Source organism: Homo sapiens, chromosome 2 (genome assembly GCF_000001405.40).
Source record: "Homo sapiens chromosome 2, GRCh38.p14 Primary Assembly".
NCBI classification, from domain to species: Eukaryota; Metazoa; Chordata; class Mammalia; order Primates; family Hominidae; genus Homo; species Homo sapiens.
Window position 1 is genome coordinate 174,004,645 of NC_000002.12, and position 15,582 is coordinate 174,020,226.

Consider the following 15,582-nt stretch of genomic DNA (forward strand, 5'->3'; position numbering starts at 1 on the left):
GCAACCTGGCCCAGGGTGGTGGCTCACATCTGTAATCTCAGTACTTTGGGAGGCTGAGAAGGATCACTGGAGTCAGGAGTTCCAGACCAGCCTTGGCAACAAAGCAAGACCTCATCTTTACAAAAAGAAATTAAAAAATAAAACACTGTGACGCCTGCAGTTCCCCACACTCACATCTTCTATCTTGCTTATTTTTTCCCCATAGTACTGCTTACCTAGTATGTTTATGGATTTAACTCACTGTTTTTCCCGGCTAGAATGCAGGGATTTTTGTCTATTTGTTTTATTGACATTTCCCTGACCCTAGAACAGGGTCTAGCAGATACTCAAAAAGTTTTGTCAAATGAATGAATGAGACTGGCTCAGGACACCCACTCTATTTCTGTATGCTTAGGGAGGAAATGCCTAAATCCGAAATGCTGGGAGTGTTTCCAAAGTAAGACCAAGCTTGATGTCTCCAGAGCTTGGAATTTGGATTCTGCTCAAGAAAAAAAACTGGTAAGAATCAACAGATAATCCAGGAGGTTAATAGTACCTGTGGTGCTTAGTTAATGTGATCATTCTTGGATCACACAAGATACCACAGGTATCCAAGATACCAAGATATCATAGATACCTTGGATACCACAGGCCTACAAATCAAAATCTCCAGAGACAGGGGTCATAAGTCTGCTTTTCTTTCTTTTTTATAACCAGCAGCCCCCAGGTGATTCTTCTAGTCACTAAAACTGAAAATAGTCCTGGACTGTATGCAAAGCCTTGGCAGGAGTGACACAGACGTGCTGTGAGACATAACTGGAATATGACTAAGAGAACTGAGATATAATAAGTGGTATTAGCACATCAGAAGCGGCCAGGAGCTGTGGCTTGTGCCTGTAATCCCAGCACTTAGGGAGACAGGATTTCTTGAGCCCAGGAATTTGAGACCAGCCTGGGCAACATAGCGAGGCCCCATTCTCCACAAAAAGAAAAAAAAAGTTTGCACATCAGAAAAAAAGGATGTAGATATAGAAAAAGGAAGATCTTGGATTTAGGAAAAGGAAATCCAAAGACCAAAATTTGAGGAGTGGTTTTTTTTTTTTGAGATAAAGTTTCACTCTTGTTGCCCAGGCTGGAGTACAGCGGCACAATCTTGGCTCACTGCAACCTCTGCCTCCCGGGTTCAAGCAATTCTTTTGTCTCAGCCTCCCGAGTAGCTGGGATTAAAGGCGGCTGCCACCACTCCCGGCTAATTTTTTGTATTTTTAGTAGAGACAAGGTTTCATCACGTTGGCCAGGCTGGTCTCGAACTCCTGATCTCAAGCAATCCACACACCTTGGCCTTCCAAAGTGCTGGGATTCCAGGCGTGAGCCACCGCGCCCGGCCGGGGAGTGTTTTTCCACTCCTGTCTGAGGAAAAAAAAGACTTAGATCTAGAGATTACAAATAATTTGGTCACAAGTCAGGGTTATAAGGTAATTTGTCAAGCTCCACAATGTGAACTAGTCCTGAAAACCATCTGTATCAGTTTGCTAGGGCTGATGTAACAAAATACCATAAGCTGGGTGGTTTAAACAATTTATTGTCTCACAGTTCCAGAAGCCAAAAGTCTGAGATGAAGGTGGCAGCAGGACTGGTTCCTGGTAAGGCCTGTAAGGGAGAATCTGTCCCATAACACCTCTCCCCTAGATTCCAGTGCTTTGCTGCTGGGCTTTGACATTCCTTAGCTTATGGACACATCATCCCAGTCTTTGTCTTCATCTTCCCATGGTGTTCTCCCTCTGCATGTGTCTGTGTCCAGATTTTCCCTTTTTATAAAGATACCAGTCATATTGGACTAGGGGCCCACCCTCCTCCACTATGGCCTCATTTTAACTACAGTTGACCCTTGAACAACACAGGTTTGAACTACATGGGCTCCACTTATATAGAGATTTCTTTTTTTTTTTTTTTTTTTTTTGAGACAGAGTCTCGCTCTGTCACCCAGGCTGGAGTGCAATGGCTCTGTCTTGGCTCACTGCAACCTCTGCCTCCCAGGTTCAAGTGATTCTCCTTCCTCAACCTCCCAAGTAGCTGGGACTACAGGTGCGTGCCACCACACTCAGCTAATTTCTGTATTTTTAGTAGAGATGGAATTTCACTATGTTGGCCAGGCTGGTCTCGATCTCCTGACCTCGTGATCCACCCACCTCAGCCTCCCAAAGTGCTGGGATTACAGCCAGTGAGCCACTGGGCCTAGCCAGATTTTTTTTTCAATAAATACATTGGAAAATGTTTTGGAAATTTGTGACAAGTGTATGTATAAAATATATGTAGATAATAGTCTATTTTACCACTACCATAAAATATACACAAATATAAAAACCTAAAATGTATTAAAACTTACAAAAACACAGATTGTATGGGGAGCCATTCAAAGTTGAGAGAAATGTAAACAAATGTAAAGATGCAGTATTAAATCATAACTGCGTAAAATTAACTGTAGTAATATTGTACTACTGTAATAATTTCATAGCCACTTCCTGTTGTTATTGCGGTAAGCTCAAGTGTTGTGAGTATCCACTTAAAATGCCATGTGACGCTCATCATCTCCGCATGAGCAGTTCATCTCTCCAGTAAATTGCATATTGCAGTAAAAAGTGATCTCTGTCAGTTCTCACATATTTTTCAACGTGTTTAGTGCAATACTATAAACTTTGAATAACACCATGGGACCCATGCAAAGTGCCACTAGTGATGCTTGAAGTGCTCCCAAGAAGCAGAGAAAAGTTATGAGTTTACAACAAAAAGCTGAATTGCTTGATATGCACTATAGATTGAGGTCTGCAGTTGCTGTTGCTGCCAATTCAGACAGACAATTCATCTTGTAGACAGGTGATGCAAACTTACGGTATCAATAAATACAGTACAGTACTATAAATGTATTTTCCTTATGATTTTCTTGACACTTTCTAACTTACTTTATCGTAAGATCATTGTATGTAATACATAAAATATACAAAATATGTGTTAATCCACTGTTTCTGTTATTGGTAAGGCTTTGGGTTGACAGTAGGCTATTTGTAGCTAAGTTTTGGGGGAGTAGAAGTTATACATGCATTTTTAACTATGCAGGTTGGCATGTCTAATGCCCACATGGTTCAAGGGTCAGCTGTAATTATATCTGCTACAAGTCTATTTCCAAATAAGGTCACATTCTGAGGTACTAGGGGTTAGGACATTAACATATGAATTTGGAAGGGACACAATTCAACCCATAACACTAGACATTTCTCTTTCGTGATCTTGCGATCACCAAACAACTTTCTGGTTACTAGCATGATTCCCCAGGTACCCAGGATTTAGCCATGGGGGTCCTGGAGAACAATCATAGAGTTTTTTGGTCACCAGAGATAAATGTCTCCATCATGAACTGGAGTTCTGTTCGCTCATGAGTCTTCAGCAAGTCTGGCTAGATGAATCCGTCCCTGAGGGTCCGGTCATTCTGGTCACATTGATGACATGAGTTTTGGGGACTACAAAACTGTGATGACTCCCCCATTAGGGCATGTTTGCAGAATTGGTTGTCTCCTCTCTCTGATATTATTGGGTCATCTCTATAATAACTGCAGGAGGGAGTTCCACCTTAGAAGATTCAGAAAAACAGCTAGAGGAGCCAAGAAATATGCCTAAGTGCACATCTCTTACCAGCCCTGCTTCCCAGCCATCTCCACATCAAACCTAAGGGTCCAGGGCTGACATCCTCAAAAATGAAAGAAGTCATAGTGTGTGCCCTCATTAAAAAGGGATATAGGTGCCTGAGTTGTAGGCAGGGATTCCTAGACATTTCTCAACAGATAATCTATCCTTTCTCTGGCCTCATCTTTCCTGAATGACAGGTATTTTGAAAAGAGGTAAATTCCTGAGAGTTATTCCTACAGATCAGGGTAAATAAAGCTATCAACCCAGGAAAACACTCACCTGATTCTACTATGCTTTCTAGCAGGATAGCCCCCAGTATCCTTTGTATCTGGGAGCCTCTACCAAGGAGGAGGAAGATCTTGATTTCAACTTAAACAAATATTCTTGCTTGCCATATCCTTCTCTGGCTCCATCAAATATCTTTCAAGTCCCGTGTGCTTGCAGAGAAAACAGAGCTAACTAAGAACTTAAGTGGTGGTTCTTAGAAGCCTTAGACATTGTCATAAACTAGGAAAAGTGTTTTCTTAGATTAGCGTGGACATTTAATCAATCAATCTCCTTGTTTTATCCTTAGAAAAGGATATAATCAAATGGCCTTAAAATGGCTCAGTTATAGTCAGTTACATGTGTAACGTGAACTTCATAGGCAATTAGCACGGACTCTAAGCTTGAGAGCTTTAGGCCCAGGCCCAGTATCTGAAAAACTCAAACTATAACAGCCAAAGCTTGAGTGCAATGAGATTTCCAAGCCTAGTGGTTGACCCAGAAATTTAATCCAACAGAATTTTAATACAGCAGAAACTCTCTTAATGGAACACTACCTAAACAATTCAGTGCATTAACAGACACTCTTTATTCCTCTCTAACAGCCACTGATGCCAGTGTGTACTGAACACTACACTACTCTTTAACACAGTATTTTTCAAACTGCAGGTCTTCATACCAATTTACTAGATGAAATAAATTCATTGGGTCATGACCAGCATTTTTAAAATGAAACAGCACAGATCAGTTGAGTTGTACGTTTAGACTTAGTGATTTGTCTTGAAACTTCTTTACGCCTATTACATATAAGAATGAGATATGAGTACAAAAAAATCCACCATGAAACAAAAAAAAAAACAAATTATGAAAATGAAGTTGAATATTTTGAAAAGACTAAAGGCAGTTTACTAAAAAAAAAAAAAAAAAAAAAAAAGTAAAAATTGTTGTCAAATTAGTTATGGGCTAAAAAACTAAAAGATTAGGAAAAGAAAGTGTAAAGCCTAAAAGACTCCACACTCATATTGTTTGTTAAGTGTCTAAGCTCACTCTTCTCTATAGAAAAACAAAGGCTGGAAACCATAAACCCAGTGTATCACAGGCAGGGTTAATGCAAGAAAAACAATGAGTAATTTCAATCAGAGGATTCCAACACTGAGCCCAACATCTAATCATTGAGGAATGAATGTACAATTATACACTTTAAGTAAAAGTAAAAAGTTTAGGGTTTTTGTATTTTACAAATTTCAATGTTACCTGATAAAATGATTGATATATTTTTAAAATTTGGTCAGTTCTTAGACTATGATGGAATAGGATTTAAATGTTATAAACTCATTGCATTTCTCAATGATGGAAAGAATCATGAAGCATATCCTTAATGTAGCAGAGAAAGTAATCAGATAGACAGTATGTAAGACAACATGATTACGACAAAGTACAAAAAAAAACAATAGCCTCACGTCAGGAAATACTACCCACTTATAAGCTAAAGATTCATAATCAGCCCAGATAACTGGTTGTCTCTGAAGTTCTTTTCTGCTCCCTCCTCTTTGCTGTCTCCCTGCCCAACTAGAACTGGCTTCTCATTTTTGTCCCACTAGCTGCTGTAAGTCTGTCTACCTGGATCTACCGAAGCCCTTGAGACAATTTTCTACATATCACTGTTTGTATATGAGTGTTCATCAACTAGACCCTAAACTTCTGAAAGATAAGGACCAGGTCTTATTTCTCATTTCCAGCATCAGCACATGGCCTGGCACTTAGTAAATTTTTGTTGAATGAATGACTCTATGCACAGATAAATTGAAGTGTTGTCCTAATTTTCAGTAAAAGTGGAAGGTAACTCCAGTTGAGTGAATTATAACTTTGTAAGTTGTTGTGTGTGTTTTTTTTATGTTACAGTAATATAAACAGAAGATCACTGGTACATCCTAAAGCCTTGAAAGAAAAAAATAAAAATAATAGTAAATAAATAAAGAAAGAAATCACAGGAGGCCAGCACGGTGGCTCATGTCGGTAATCCCAGAGCTTTGGGAGGCCAAGGCAGGAGGATTGCTTGAGGCCAGGAGTTCAAGGCCACCCTGGGCAAGACCCCATCTCTACCAAAAATTTAAAATATTAGCTGGGCATGGTAATGCATGCCTGTAGTCCCAGCTACTTGGGAAGCTGGGGCAGGAGGATCGTTTGAGCCCAGAGGTTCAAGGCTTCAGTGAGCTATGATTGCACCACTGCATTCTAGCCTGCACAGAGCAAGTCCCTGTCTAAAAAAAATAAATAAATAAAATAAATCACTGAAAAGGTGAAAGTTCACTAAGCTAGTTGAAATAATCATTAAGATAATTTGCCTCACTTTGCCTTGGCTCTGAATTTAGTCCAAGACCCTTCTACAATGCTGATTCCCTGCCTGGAATCTTGACACTTCAAAGGAAGTCCCCTAGATAGGAAAGACAAATATTCTGGTCCCTGAAAAGGAAATATCTCTACACTTCAAACTGACAAATTGATTTTCTGGCACAAATCAGTAAAGGGTGGCTGCTCTGGGGAAAAAAAATGAAGGAAAACTTAGAGGAACGCAATTGTTTTGTTCTCATGATTTTTTTTTTCCTCCAAGGTCATCACATCTCTAAATATCCAAAATGTGATCATTTTGATTGGCTAAATTATATGGATAATAGAAGTACTTTTCCTGAGCAACTCAGAAACACATATTGACCATGGAAAAGCTGGAAAGGACTAAAAAGTATAAAACAGGAGGGGAAAAAAATCACTCATACTCCTCCTACACTAAGACATCAACTATAAAATCTGGCATGTTTACTTCCAGTTTTGTTTTGCAGTTTTCTTTACATAGTTGAGATTACTCTACATGATACATTTTTATGGTTCTAAACTAACAAAGTTGACTTCATATCTCAAGTTTTATTCTACTCATCCTGCCCTATGAAGAGTTTTTCTTTTCTATACCTTCAAATTTTCTAGAAAAATCTCTTTCTAGGTATCACTGAGGTTTTATTTATCATTCAATCAACAAAAATTTATTGAACACAAGTTGTGTGCAATGCACTAAGTTGGTGCCTTTAAGTGTGCATAGAAATAAAAGTGACTGTTGAAAGAACTTAAAATGTAGGTTGAAGAAACAAGCTATCTGTACACAAAGAAAACATACTGTCAAGCAATCCCGTTTTATGAGTTAGGATCCAAAGTAAAGGGGGCGGACAGGGGGAGATACTAAGGTCAGCTTAGGAGAAAGAAGGCTCTTGACTCTGACAGGTAAGACTAGATAAACTCCATGCTAATTATTTCATTTAATCAAATCTCCAGGCAACCTTGTGAGGTGGCTGTTATTATCATCATCCCCAATTTACAGCAGTGGAAACTGTGGTGTAGGGAGGTTAAGTAACTTGCCCCAAGTCACAGAGCTATTAATACTTGGTGGTGGAGCCAAAGTCCATCTCCAGAGTTGGGCTCTTAACACTGCCTTTCAGATGTCCAAAGGCCTAGAGGAGACTGGATAGTCACAGTAAGTGGAATCCGCCGATCAACTGTTACTAGAAACAAAAGTATGAGTTTTTAAAATTATTTTGAGACAGGATCTCACTCTGCTGCCCAGGCTGGAGTGCAAGGGGCACCATCTCACTGCAGCCTCGACCTCCAGAGCTCAAGGGATCCTCCCACTTCAGCTTCCAGAGTAGCTAGGACCACAGGCGCGCCCCACCACACTCAGCTAATTTTTAAATTATTTTTTGTGGAGACGGGGTTTCTCCATGTTGCCCAGGCTGGTCTCGAACTCCTGGGCTCAAGTGATCCACCCGCCTCAGCCTCCCAAAGCGCTGGGATTACAGGCATGAGCTAGTGCACCAGCTTCTGGTGCATTCTTTAAGATGCTCAGCACTTGTTCTGTTGGAAGACAGGGCTTCCCTGGGGGCCACCTGCCCCACTGAACTTCGACAAGCTGCCCCCTGCCTTTCAGATAGGCCTAACCCTTCACCCCACCACTCGCTAGAGGTTTGGGGAGAGGGCTTCCTGAACCGGGGACCTTCACCCTTCGCGGGTGCTGGCTCGCGTTCACACCCCTTCCACCCCGGAAGAAGTGAGCTCCCTCATCTTCCTCTGCAAGTTTCCAACTTGGAGCCCACAGAAATGAAGACCCCGTTTTCAGGCCCGGGGCTCCCTGGAGGCGGTGGTTGAGGAGTCTGATGAGTCACACTGAACCCCGCCTTCCAGGTCCGAGCTCAGAACTGGGACGCACTCTGGGCCTGTGCTGTCTACCGAAAGCGTGGCTTGGCCACGCTCCGAAGCCGCAAACCCACGTGTGAGAGGCTCCCGCCTCTCTCTCCCGCGGGGCCCGGGCTCTGCCGCTCCTCCGCCGTGGGGTCCCCTCGGACTTCCGCTCCTGGCCCCGGGTGCCTCCGGCTGCGCAGTAAGAAGCCGAGGTTCACGCTGCCCTTCGACGGGAGAAACTGCCGGCGGCCTCAGCCAGCGACTTCCCAGGGCCCAGCCCGGCCTCCTCCCCTCCCGCGCCCTCTCTCCTCCCGTACCCAGGCCTTCGCCTCCTCCCCGCTGCGTCCCAACCTCCCGCTCTCCCAACCCCTCGCCCCTCCTCCCGTCCCCTTTTCTTTCGCTTCCTCCTCCCTCTCTCTCCCTCATTTCCCCTTCCCTCTCCCGTCCTGCTTCTCTCCCTCTCTGCCCTCTTTCACTCTCCCTCTGTCTCTTCTCCTCCTCTCCCCGGCGACCCTCAGGGAAGGGGGTCAGCCGTAGAGGTGAAGGCCCCTCTCCTCCCCTTCCCCAGAGCTGGAAGCTGTGGAACTCGGACCCCCGCAGCTCTGCCCGCCGGTGTCCCGGCGCTTCTGGACCCAGGATCTGCAAAGCTGAGCAAGTGGCCTCTGCCCAGCCCGTGAAAGGCTCCCCCACGGGCTCCGAGGAGGGCCTTTCGGCTCGTGATCTTTTCACATGAGTGGCTCCTCCTCTAGGACAGGGAAATAAGAGGCAAGATTCCAACTCCTTAGAGAAAATGTTTGGACGCAGATGGTACTTGGGGCCCCGAGGCACAGTGGAGACTGGGAAAGATTGTAGGTGAAGGAGCAAAAGGCCCAGGTCAGCCCCAGCTCGCCTGTGTCCTGGACTCTTCAAGGGGATCTGACGTCGCTGTGTGCCTTCCAAGCCCTGGAGGTCCAATCTGAGTGCCTTCCCCTGGTGACCTTCCATGCTTCACTACAGAACAGCAATCAGTATTTTATTTTGCGGGGAGAGATTACAACCCGCCCAAATCGTAGAAATTTCCACCCAACATTGTGATTTGGCCCAAAAGCTAAATAATATGTTCAAGAAAAAATCCGTTGGAGGTACCAGCAGAGCAGCACATCTAGAAGAAAGAGTAGTTTAGATCTAGACATTGCCTCTGGCTAGCTTAGGGCCTTAAGCAAGAAAATGGAGTAATGATCCCTACAGTTCGTGTTGTTTTGAGGAGAAACTGAGATGATGCATGTGATAATGTAAACTATAAAATGCCATACAAATATAAGCTATTGTATCTTGAGATGTATGGCCAGCCAAAGAAGAAAAAGAATAGTTTAACCCTGACTTTCGACAAGACCACAGTGAAAAAACCATGTTTCCCAATGCTGTTTTAGCAATACCCTAGGGAAGATCCCAGGGGCCTGTGGGACTGCCACAAAATTCTTGCAAAATTGTCTTAACCAGGACACTTTAATTTCACCATCATTAAAAAAATAACTTGCCATTGAGTACATCTGGGAACAGGAGATGTCAGAAAATCAAAGATTGAATGTCAAAATAGTGAAATGGTAGATGAAGATTTAGGAAGCATTCGGTTAAACCAAATAAAACAAGTTATTTGCTGCTGTTTTACTCCAGAATTCCTCATAGCCTTTGGTATGCATATTGTGATTCAAAAGAGCCATCGGATCAGCATTTCAGGACTAACCCGCCAAGAAATTCATGTGAACACCAGCCTATCCTCACAGGCAGGCTGGATTAATCTCTTACTCTGTATTTCTACACTGTCTACCTGAGGCTCTGACACTGCGATTTCAGTTTCCTCATGGGTTGCCAAATGCTTGCAAAGAATTGACCCTCCTAGATTCATTCATCAAATTTTCATTGAGTGTTTTTGTGCCAGGAACAGGGCTATAGACACACAAGCAACATAAAACAAGTAATACTCCAGCCCTAGTGTCACTGGAGGAAATAAACACAAACAGTGACCATGACAATATAATTAGCTATTCACCATGAGCAGCTGGCAGTTGGCCTCACATAGGGGTCTGGTCTCAAACTCAAGTGCTTCCAGAAACCAGACACAAAGGTGTGGGGGCAGGGGCTGTGGAGAACTGGGGAAGGTAGGCCTGGTCTGAAGGGGGAGCCCCATGAAGCATGCACCCATCGTTGGCAGCCTGGCCAAGTTACCACATCGCCCACTTTTTCAAGAGAAGCCAGCAATCTGAATTCTTGTGTGAAATCACCTAATTTTTAAATGTTGTCACCTGATTCAAACTTTTAGGAGAGGACTATCAGGACTCATTCTGTGAGCTACCAGTTTATAACTTCTACCCTCCCTGTGTCACCAAAACTGATTCAAAAATATGACAAGAATCCAAAAAGACTGAGAAATACCCCTCTATAGTGGCTATCACTAAAGGAGGCATAAATGCCAAGTAAATAATTTCTAAGCTTCATAATTATCCAAAAATATTTATTATGGGTTTAATATGTGCTGACATATCTATGAATGGGTCTTACTGTTTCAATTATAGTAACATGTGACTAAGTCATCAGACTGCTGTACCCTAGGTTATCCATAAAAAACAAAAGCAAAAAACTTGGCTCCACCTGAGTAGCAAAACATTCTAAATTTTCCAAAGCAAATGAATAGAAATGGTGAGAAGAACCGATTAATACATGTTTGCTGAAGCTAAAATACTGTTTTATGATCCCATCCCTTTGGGTTCTCAGAAGACTTGAGTTTTAGGGAGGAAGCCTGGGGTGCACATATATTATATTTATATCATTGCCAATTCTGTCTTTAAATTGCTGACCAATACACTTTGCATTTGTTTTGGGCAAATGACATGTGCCCAAAATGAGTGACATGTCACTCAATTATAGTTTGGTTTTGGTTTTTAAGGGATTGAAGTAAAGTTGCTGAAGGCATGCCAGAGAAGGACCCAAATACTATCCAGGCAGCTTGACTAGCAACGTGGCTCAGATTATATCAAGGAGGAAAAAGTAGGTAATTGATTTGTTTGGTTAAGACTGAAAATTAAATTATTTTAATTTTCATGTTGTTGGGGGCAGGCGCTGAATTTTTTGGGAAAGGAAGGAGAGGGAAAAAAGCCCTAATACAGCCCTTACTCATGCAGGCTATGAAAAGTACTATTATCCTAGTTTCACAGACAGAGGGTGTAAAATACGTATGAGATTTACCCCCATCGTTGTCTCTCAGCAGATAACCTAGCCTGCTTCATTGAGAAAATTAACTTTAAATCCCACAGCTTTCTGGCTGTCACTGTAAACTCACCTGCATTATAGCCATTCTTCCTCTAGTCTTAGCATAAACGTGTCCTTCCTTCTAAGGTCATCCTCAGCAAGTCTTTCTCAGTGGTTCGCAGCCCCCAACTCTCTGATACCTTCACCTGGGGACATTTTTAGAAAACACTGATGATGCCTGGGTCCCACCCCCAGGGATCTGAATTGAATTGGGTGGGATTCCCAGGTGCTTCTAATGTGCTTCCCAGAGCCCTTCATTGCCTCTCCCCTTTGGAATCTCCAACTTCTCTTCTCTGGCTTCTCCCGACCAGCAAGTAAACATGCTTCCTACTATCCCATATTCATATCTCATCCTCTCCTACTCTTTCATGTCTAATCTCTTATAAAAGTAGTACCTTCCCTGCCCCAAACCACATCTCCTGTTCACCATCCAGCTTCTGCCCTCACCTTTCCACAGAAAAACTCCTATGATAAGGTCACCAATGTCTTCTCTTTGGCCAAAACCTCAACGATTAACTTTCAGAACTTTTCTGAATCATCTGACACTGCTTACCAAACCCTCCATTTCTGAAACATTCTCCCTTAGAGTCTGTGTGTCTTCTATTTCTCTGAGTTCCCTTTCTCAGTCTCCTTAGTCACCTCTTTCTCCTTCCTTGCTTTATTAAAAGTTTACATCTTGGTGACTATAGTTTTTCAAAATAGATAAGAATTCAAAAAGCATAAGCGTAAAGAAAAGACATAGGCTGGGCACAGTGGCTCACGCCTGTAATCCCAGCACTTTGGGAGGCCGAGGCAGGCGGATCACCTGAGGTTAGAAGTTCAAGACCAGCCTGGCCAACATGTGAAACCCTGTCTCTACTAAAAATACAAAGATTAGCTGGGCGTGGTGGTGAGGCCTGTAATCCCAGCTACTGGGGAGGCTGAGGCGGAAGAATCACTTGAACCTGGGAGGCAGAAGTTGCAGTGAGCTGAGATCGTGCCACTGCACTCCAGCCTGGGCAACGAGCAAAACTCCATCTCAGAAAAAAAAAAAAAAAAAAAAAAAAGGCTGGCATGTTGGCTCACACCTGTAATCCCAGCACTTTGGGAGGCCGAGGCAGGCGGATCACCTGAGGTTGGGGGTTTGAGAGCAGCCTGACCAATATGGAGAAACCCCGACTCTACTAAAAATACAAAATTAGCCAGGCGTGGTGGCACATGCCTGTAATCCCAGCTACTTGGGAGGCTGAGGCAGGAGAATTGCTTGAACCTGGGAGGCAGAGGTTGCAGTGAGCCGAGATCACGCCATTGCACTCCAGCCTGGGCAACAAGAGCAAAAAAAACTCCGTTTCAAAAAATAAATAAATAAATAAAGTGCTAGCAGAAAGAAAAGGGAAATATTTAAGGAGATGGACATCCCAAGTACATGGATTCAATCTTTACAAATTATATGAATGTAATAAATTATCACATGTAATAAGTTGTTTCACCTCGAAACAATATACATCTATTATGCATCAATAAAAAAGTGAATCCCTTGGAAACAACCTAATTATCCATCAGCTGATGAATGGATAAACAAATTGTGTTATATCTATATAATTGAGTATTCTTCAGCCATAAAAAGGAATGAAGTAAAAATATATGCTACAACATGGGTGAACCTTAAAAACATTATGCTAAATGAAAAATGTCAGACACAAAAGGCCACATGTTGTATCATTCCATATACATGAAATGTCCAGAAAAGGAAAATCCTTATAGACAGACAGCAGATTACTAATTGCTAGGGTCTGGGGGTGCAGAGAGGGTGTTTAACTAGTGCAGAGTTTTCTGTGGGGGTGATTAAAATGTTCACAGATTATACAGTGGTGATGATTGTACATCATTAGGAATGTGCTAAATGCCACTGAATTATATACTTTAAAATGATTAGAATGGTGAATTTTATAGTATATGGATTTTACCATAATAAAAAATGCACCTTGTTTTGTTGGGGAAAAAAAAAAACAACTAATGCTTGCTTTCTGTCTCTTCTTCCTGGATGAGGTCATCCATACCTACAGCTGCTGCTTCTTTTTTTTTTTTTTAGACAGTCTCATTCTGTCACCCAGGCTGGAGTGCAGTGGCGTGATCTCGGCTCACTGCAACTGCCTCCCAGGTTCAAGCGATTCTACAGCCTCGGCCTCCTGAGTAGCTGAGACTGCAGGCGTAAATCACCATGCCCGGCCATCTTTGTATTTGTAGTAGAGTCAGGGTTTCACCGTGTTGGCCAGACTGGTCTCAAACTTCCGACCTCAAGTGATCTGCCTGCCTTGGCCTCCCAAAGTGCTGGGATTACAGGTGCCCACAGCTTCTTTTTATCACATGGACACTAGGACTCAGATCTGTTTCTCAAGCCCATCCATCTGTCCTGAACTCTAGGTCATGGTCTTCAAAGACTAGACATCTCCAAAAGGGTATCCCACAGATCCCTCCAACTCTTCATGTGAATAGCAGAATGCATCAGCTGGACTCCAAATCCACTCTTCCTCCCCATTCCTATCTTTGTTTATGATATCTGTTACTTGTGTTAGAAACCCAGGAGTCATAAGCTCCTCTTCTTCTTACATCCCCCGCATCGGGTCAGCCATCAAGTTTGATCTAGGTAGTCCGTTATCTCCTCTTTGCTTCCACAAACTACTTTGGTTTAGTTCATCCCTCATCTGGACCATGCAGTCAGTAGTAACATCACTGGCCTCCTGCCTCCACTTACCTGCCTCCACCCCACAGAATCTTGCGTCGTTTAACAACCTCCATCCCTTCTTTCCCCAGCCACCTTGGCTTCCATCCTCTTGGACATCGGGAATCCTAATGTTTGTCAGTGGGAACAGACATGTCCCTTAGTGTTAGAAGCGCTTGCCACCAGTATCATTGTCTTATTTTGGAGAAAACCAAGAGCCTGGTTTTCTCCTATAGGCCCTTGTCCATTCTGTTCCTGTTCCCAGCCAGGTCACAGTGGATTTTTCCAAATAGAGAGAGGAGACCCCACGCAGCCATTGGCAGAGGTCAAGTGGCATTTCTCAGTGTCATCAGAGCCCTGTAGCTCCATGGATATCATTGTTCAGGAGGAAGTGAAATTGGGCATTCATGTTTTGAAGTGAATTTATTAAAAGAAAAATGTTAAACGAATAATAACCCATATGGTTTGTGGATAAAGCAAAACCTGAGGGTTGTTCAGGGAAACGTTTGTCAAATGAACAGCTCAAATCAGCTTCCAGGAGGGAGGGCACAGTGGGGATGAGGAAGGCAGAGGAGAGTGAGATGAAAGACGGAAAGGGACTCTGCTCCTGAGCCCGGAGGACCTTCCTTCACCTCAGTTCCCCTCCACACTCTTCCTTGAGGGCAGCTTTGGCTGCATTTTCACACCAATAATAAGAAAATCCCAGTCAGACACGGTGGCTCACACTGGTAATCCCAGCACTTTGGGAGGCTGAGGCAGGAGGATTGTGTGAGCCCAGGAGTTCAAGACCAGTCTGGGCAACATAGGGAGACTCTGTATGTGCAATTAAAAAAAAAAAAAAATTAGCCAGGTGTGGTCCCAGCTACTCAGGAGGCTGAGGTGGGGGGGATCGCTTGAGCCCAGGAAGTCGAGGCTGCGGTGAGCCATGGTCATACCACTGCACTCCAGTCTCAGTGACAGAGCAAGACTCTGTCTCAAAAAAAAAAAAAAAAGAAAGAAAGATAAAGAAAATCAAAGAAAATCCCAACATTCCCGGGAGGGAAAGAGTTTTCATGACACTCTCTCCTGCAATTAAGAGAGAGCAGGAATTGCCTTTGGATGCTTGACTCTTTGTGCACAGAGGAGAGGCCACAACTGTCACCCTGCAGCAACAAATTGCCAACTTAATTATCTATTAATGTCCTGCAAATTGTAAGTCATTTGATATTTTCTCCAAGAAAACATCTCCAAATTGTCAGCAGTCTCCCCTGCGTCCTAATTATTGTGTCACTAACTGTGTTGGTTCCATTTCTTTTTTCCACAAAATGGGTCCCTCAGCATTGGCTGATCATAGTTATCATTTTTTAATGGCCAAATGTGATGGATTTACAAAGAGTTTCCCCAAAGCTGCTGGCCGTTTGGGCCTCATGCATCAGTGCGAGACAAATGTGAATTGAGTAATTCCGTCACAG

General features: G+C 43.1%; 1 annotated feature.

Moving 5' to 3' along the window:
• Positions 8,214-8,453: a silencer, noted in NCBI's record as "silent region_12122". NCBI's record gives its function as "represses an Ori minimal core promoter by ATAC-STARR-seq in GM12878 lymphoblastoid cells {active_cell/tissue: GM12878}" and the evidence as "EXISTENCE:reporter gene assay evidence [ECO:0000049][PMID:35858748]".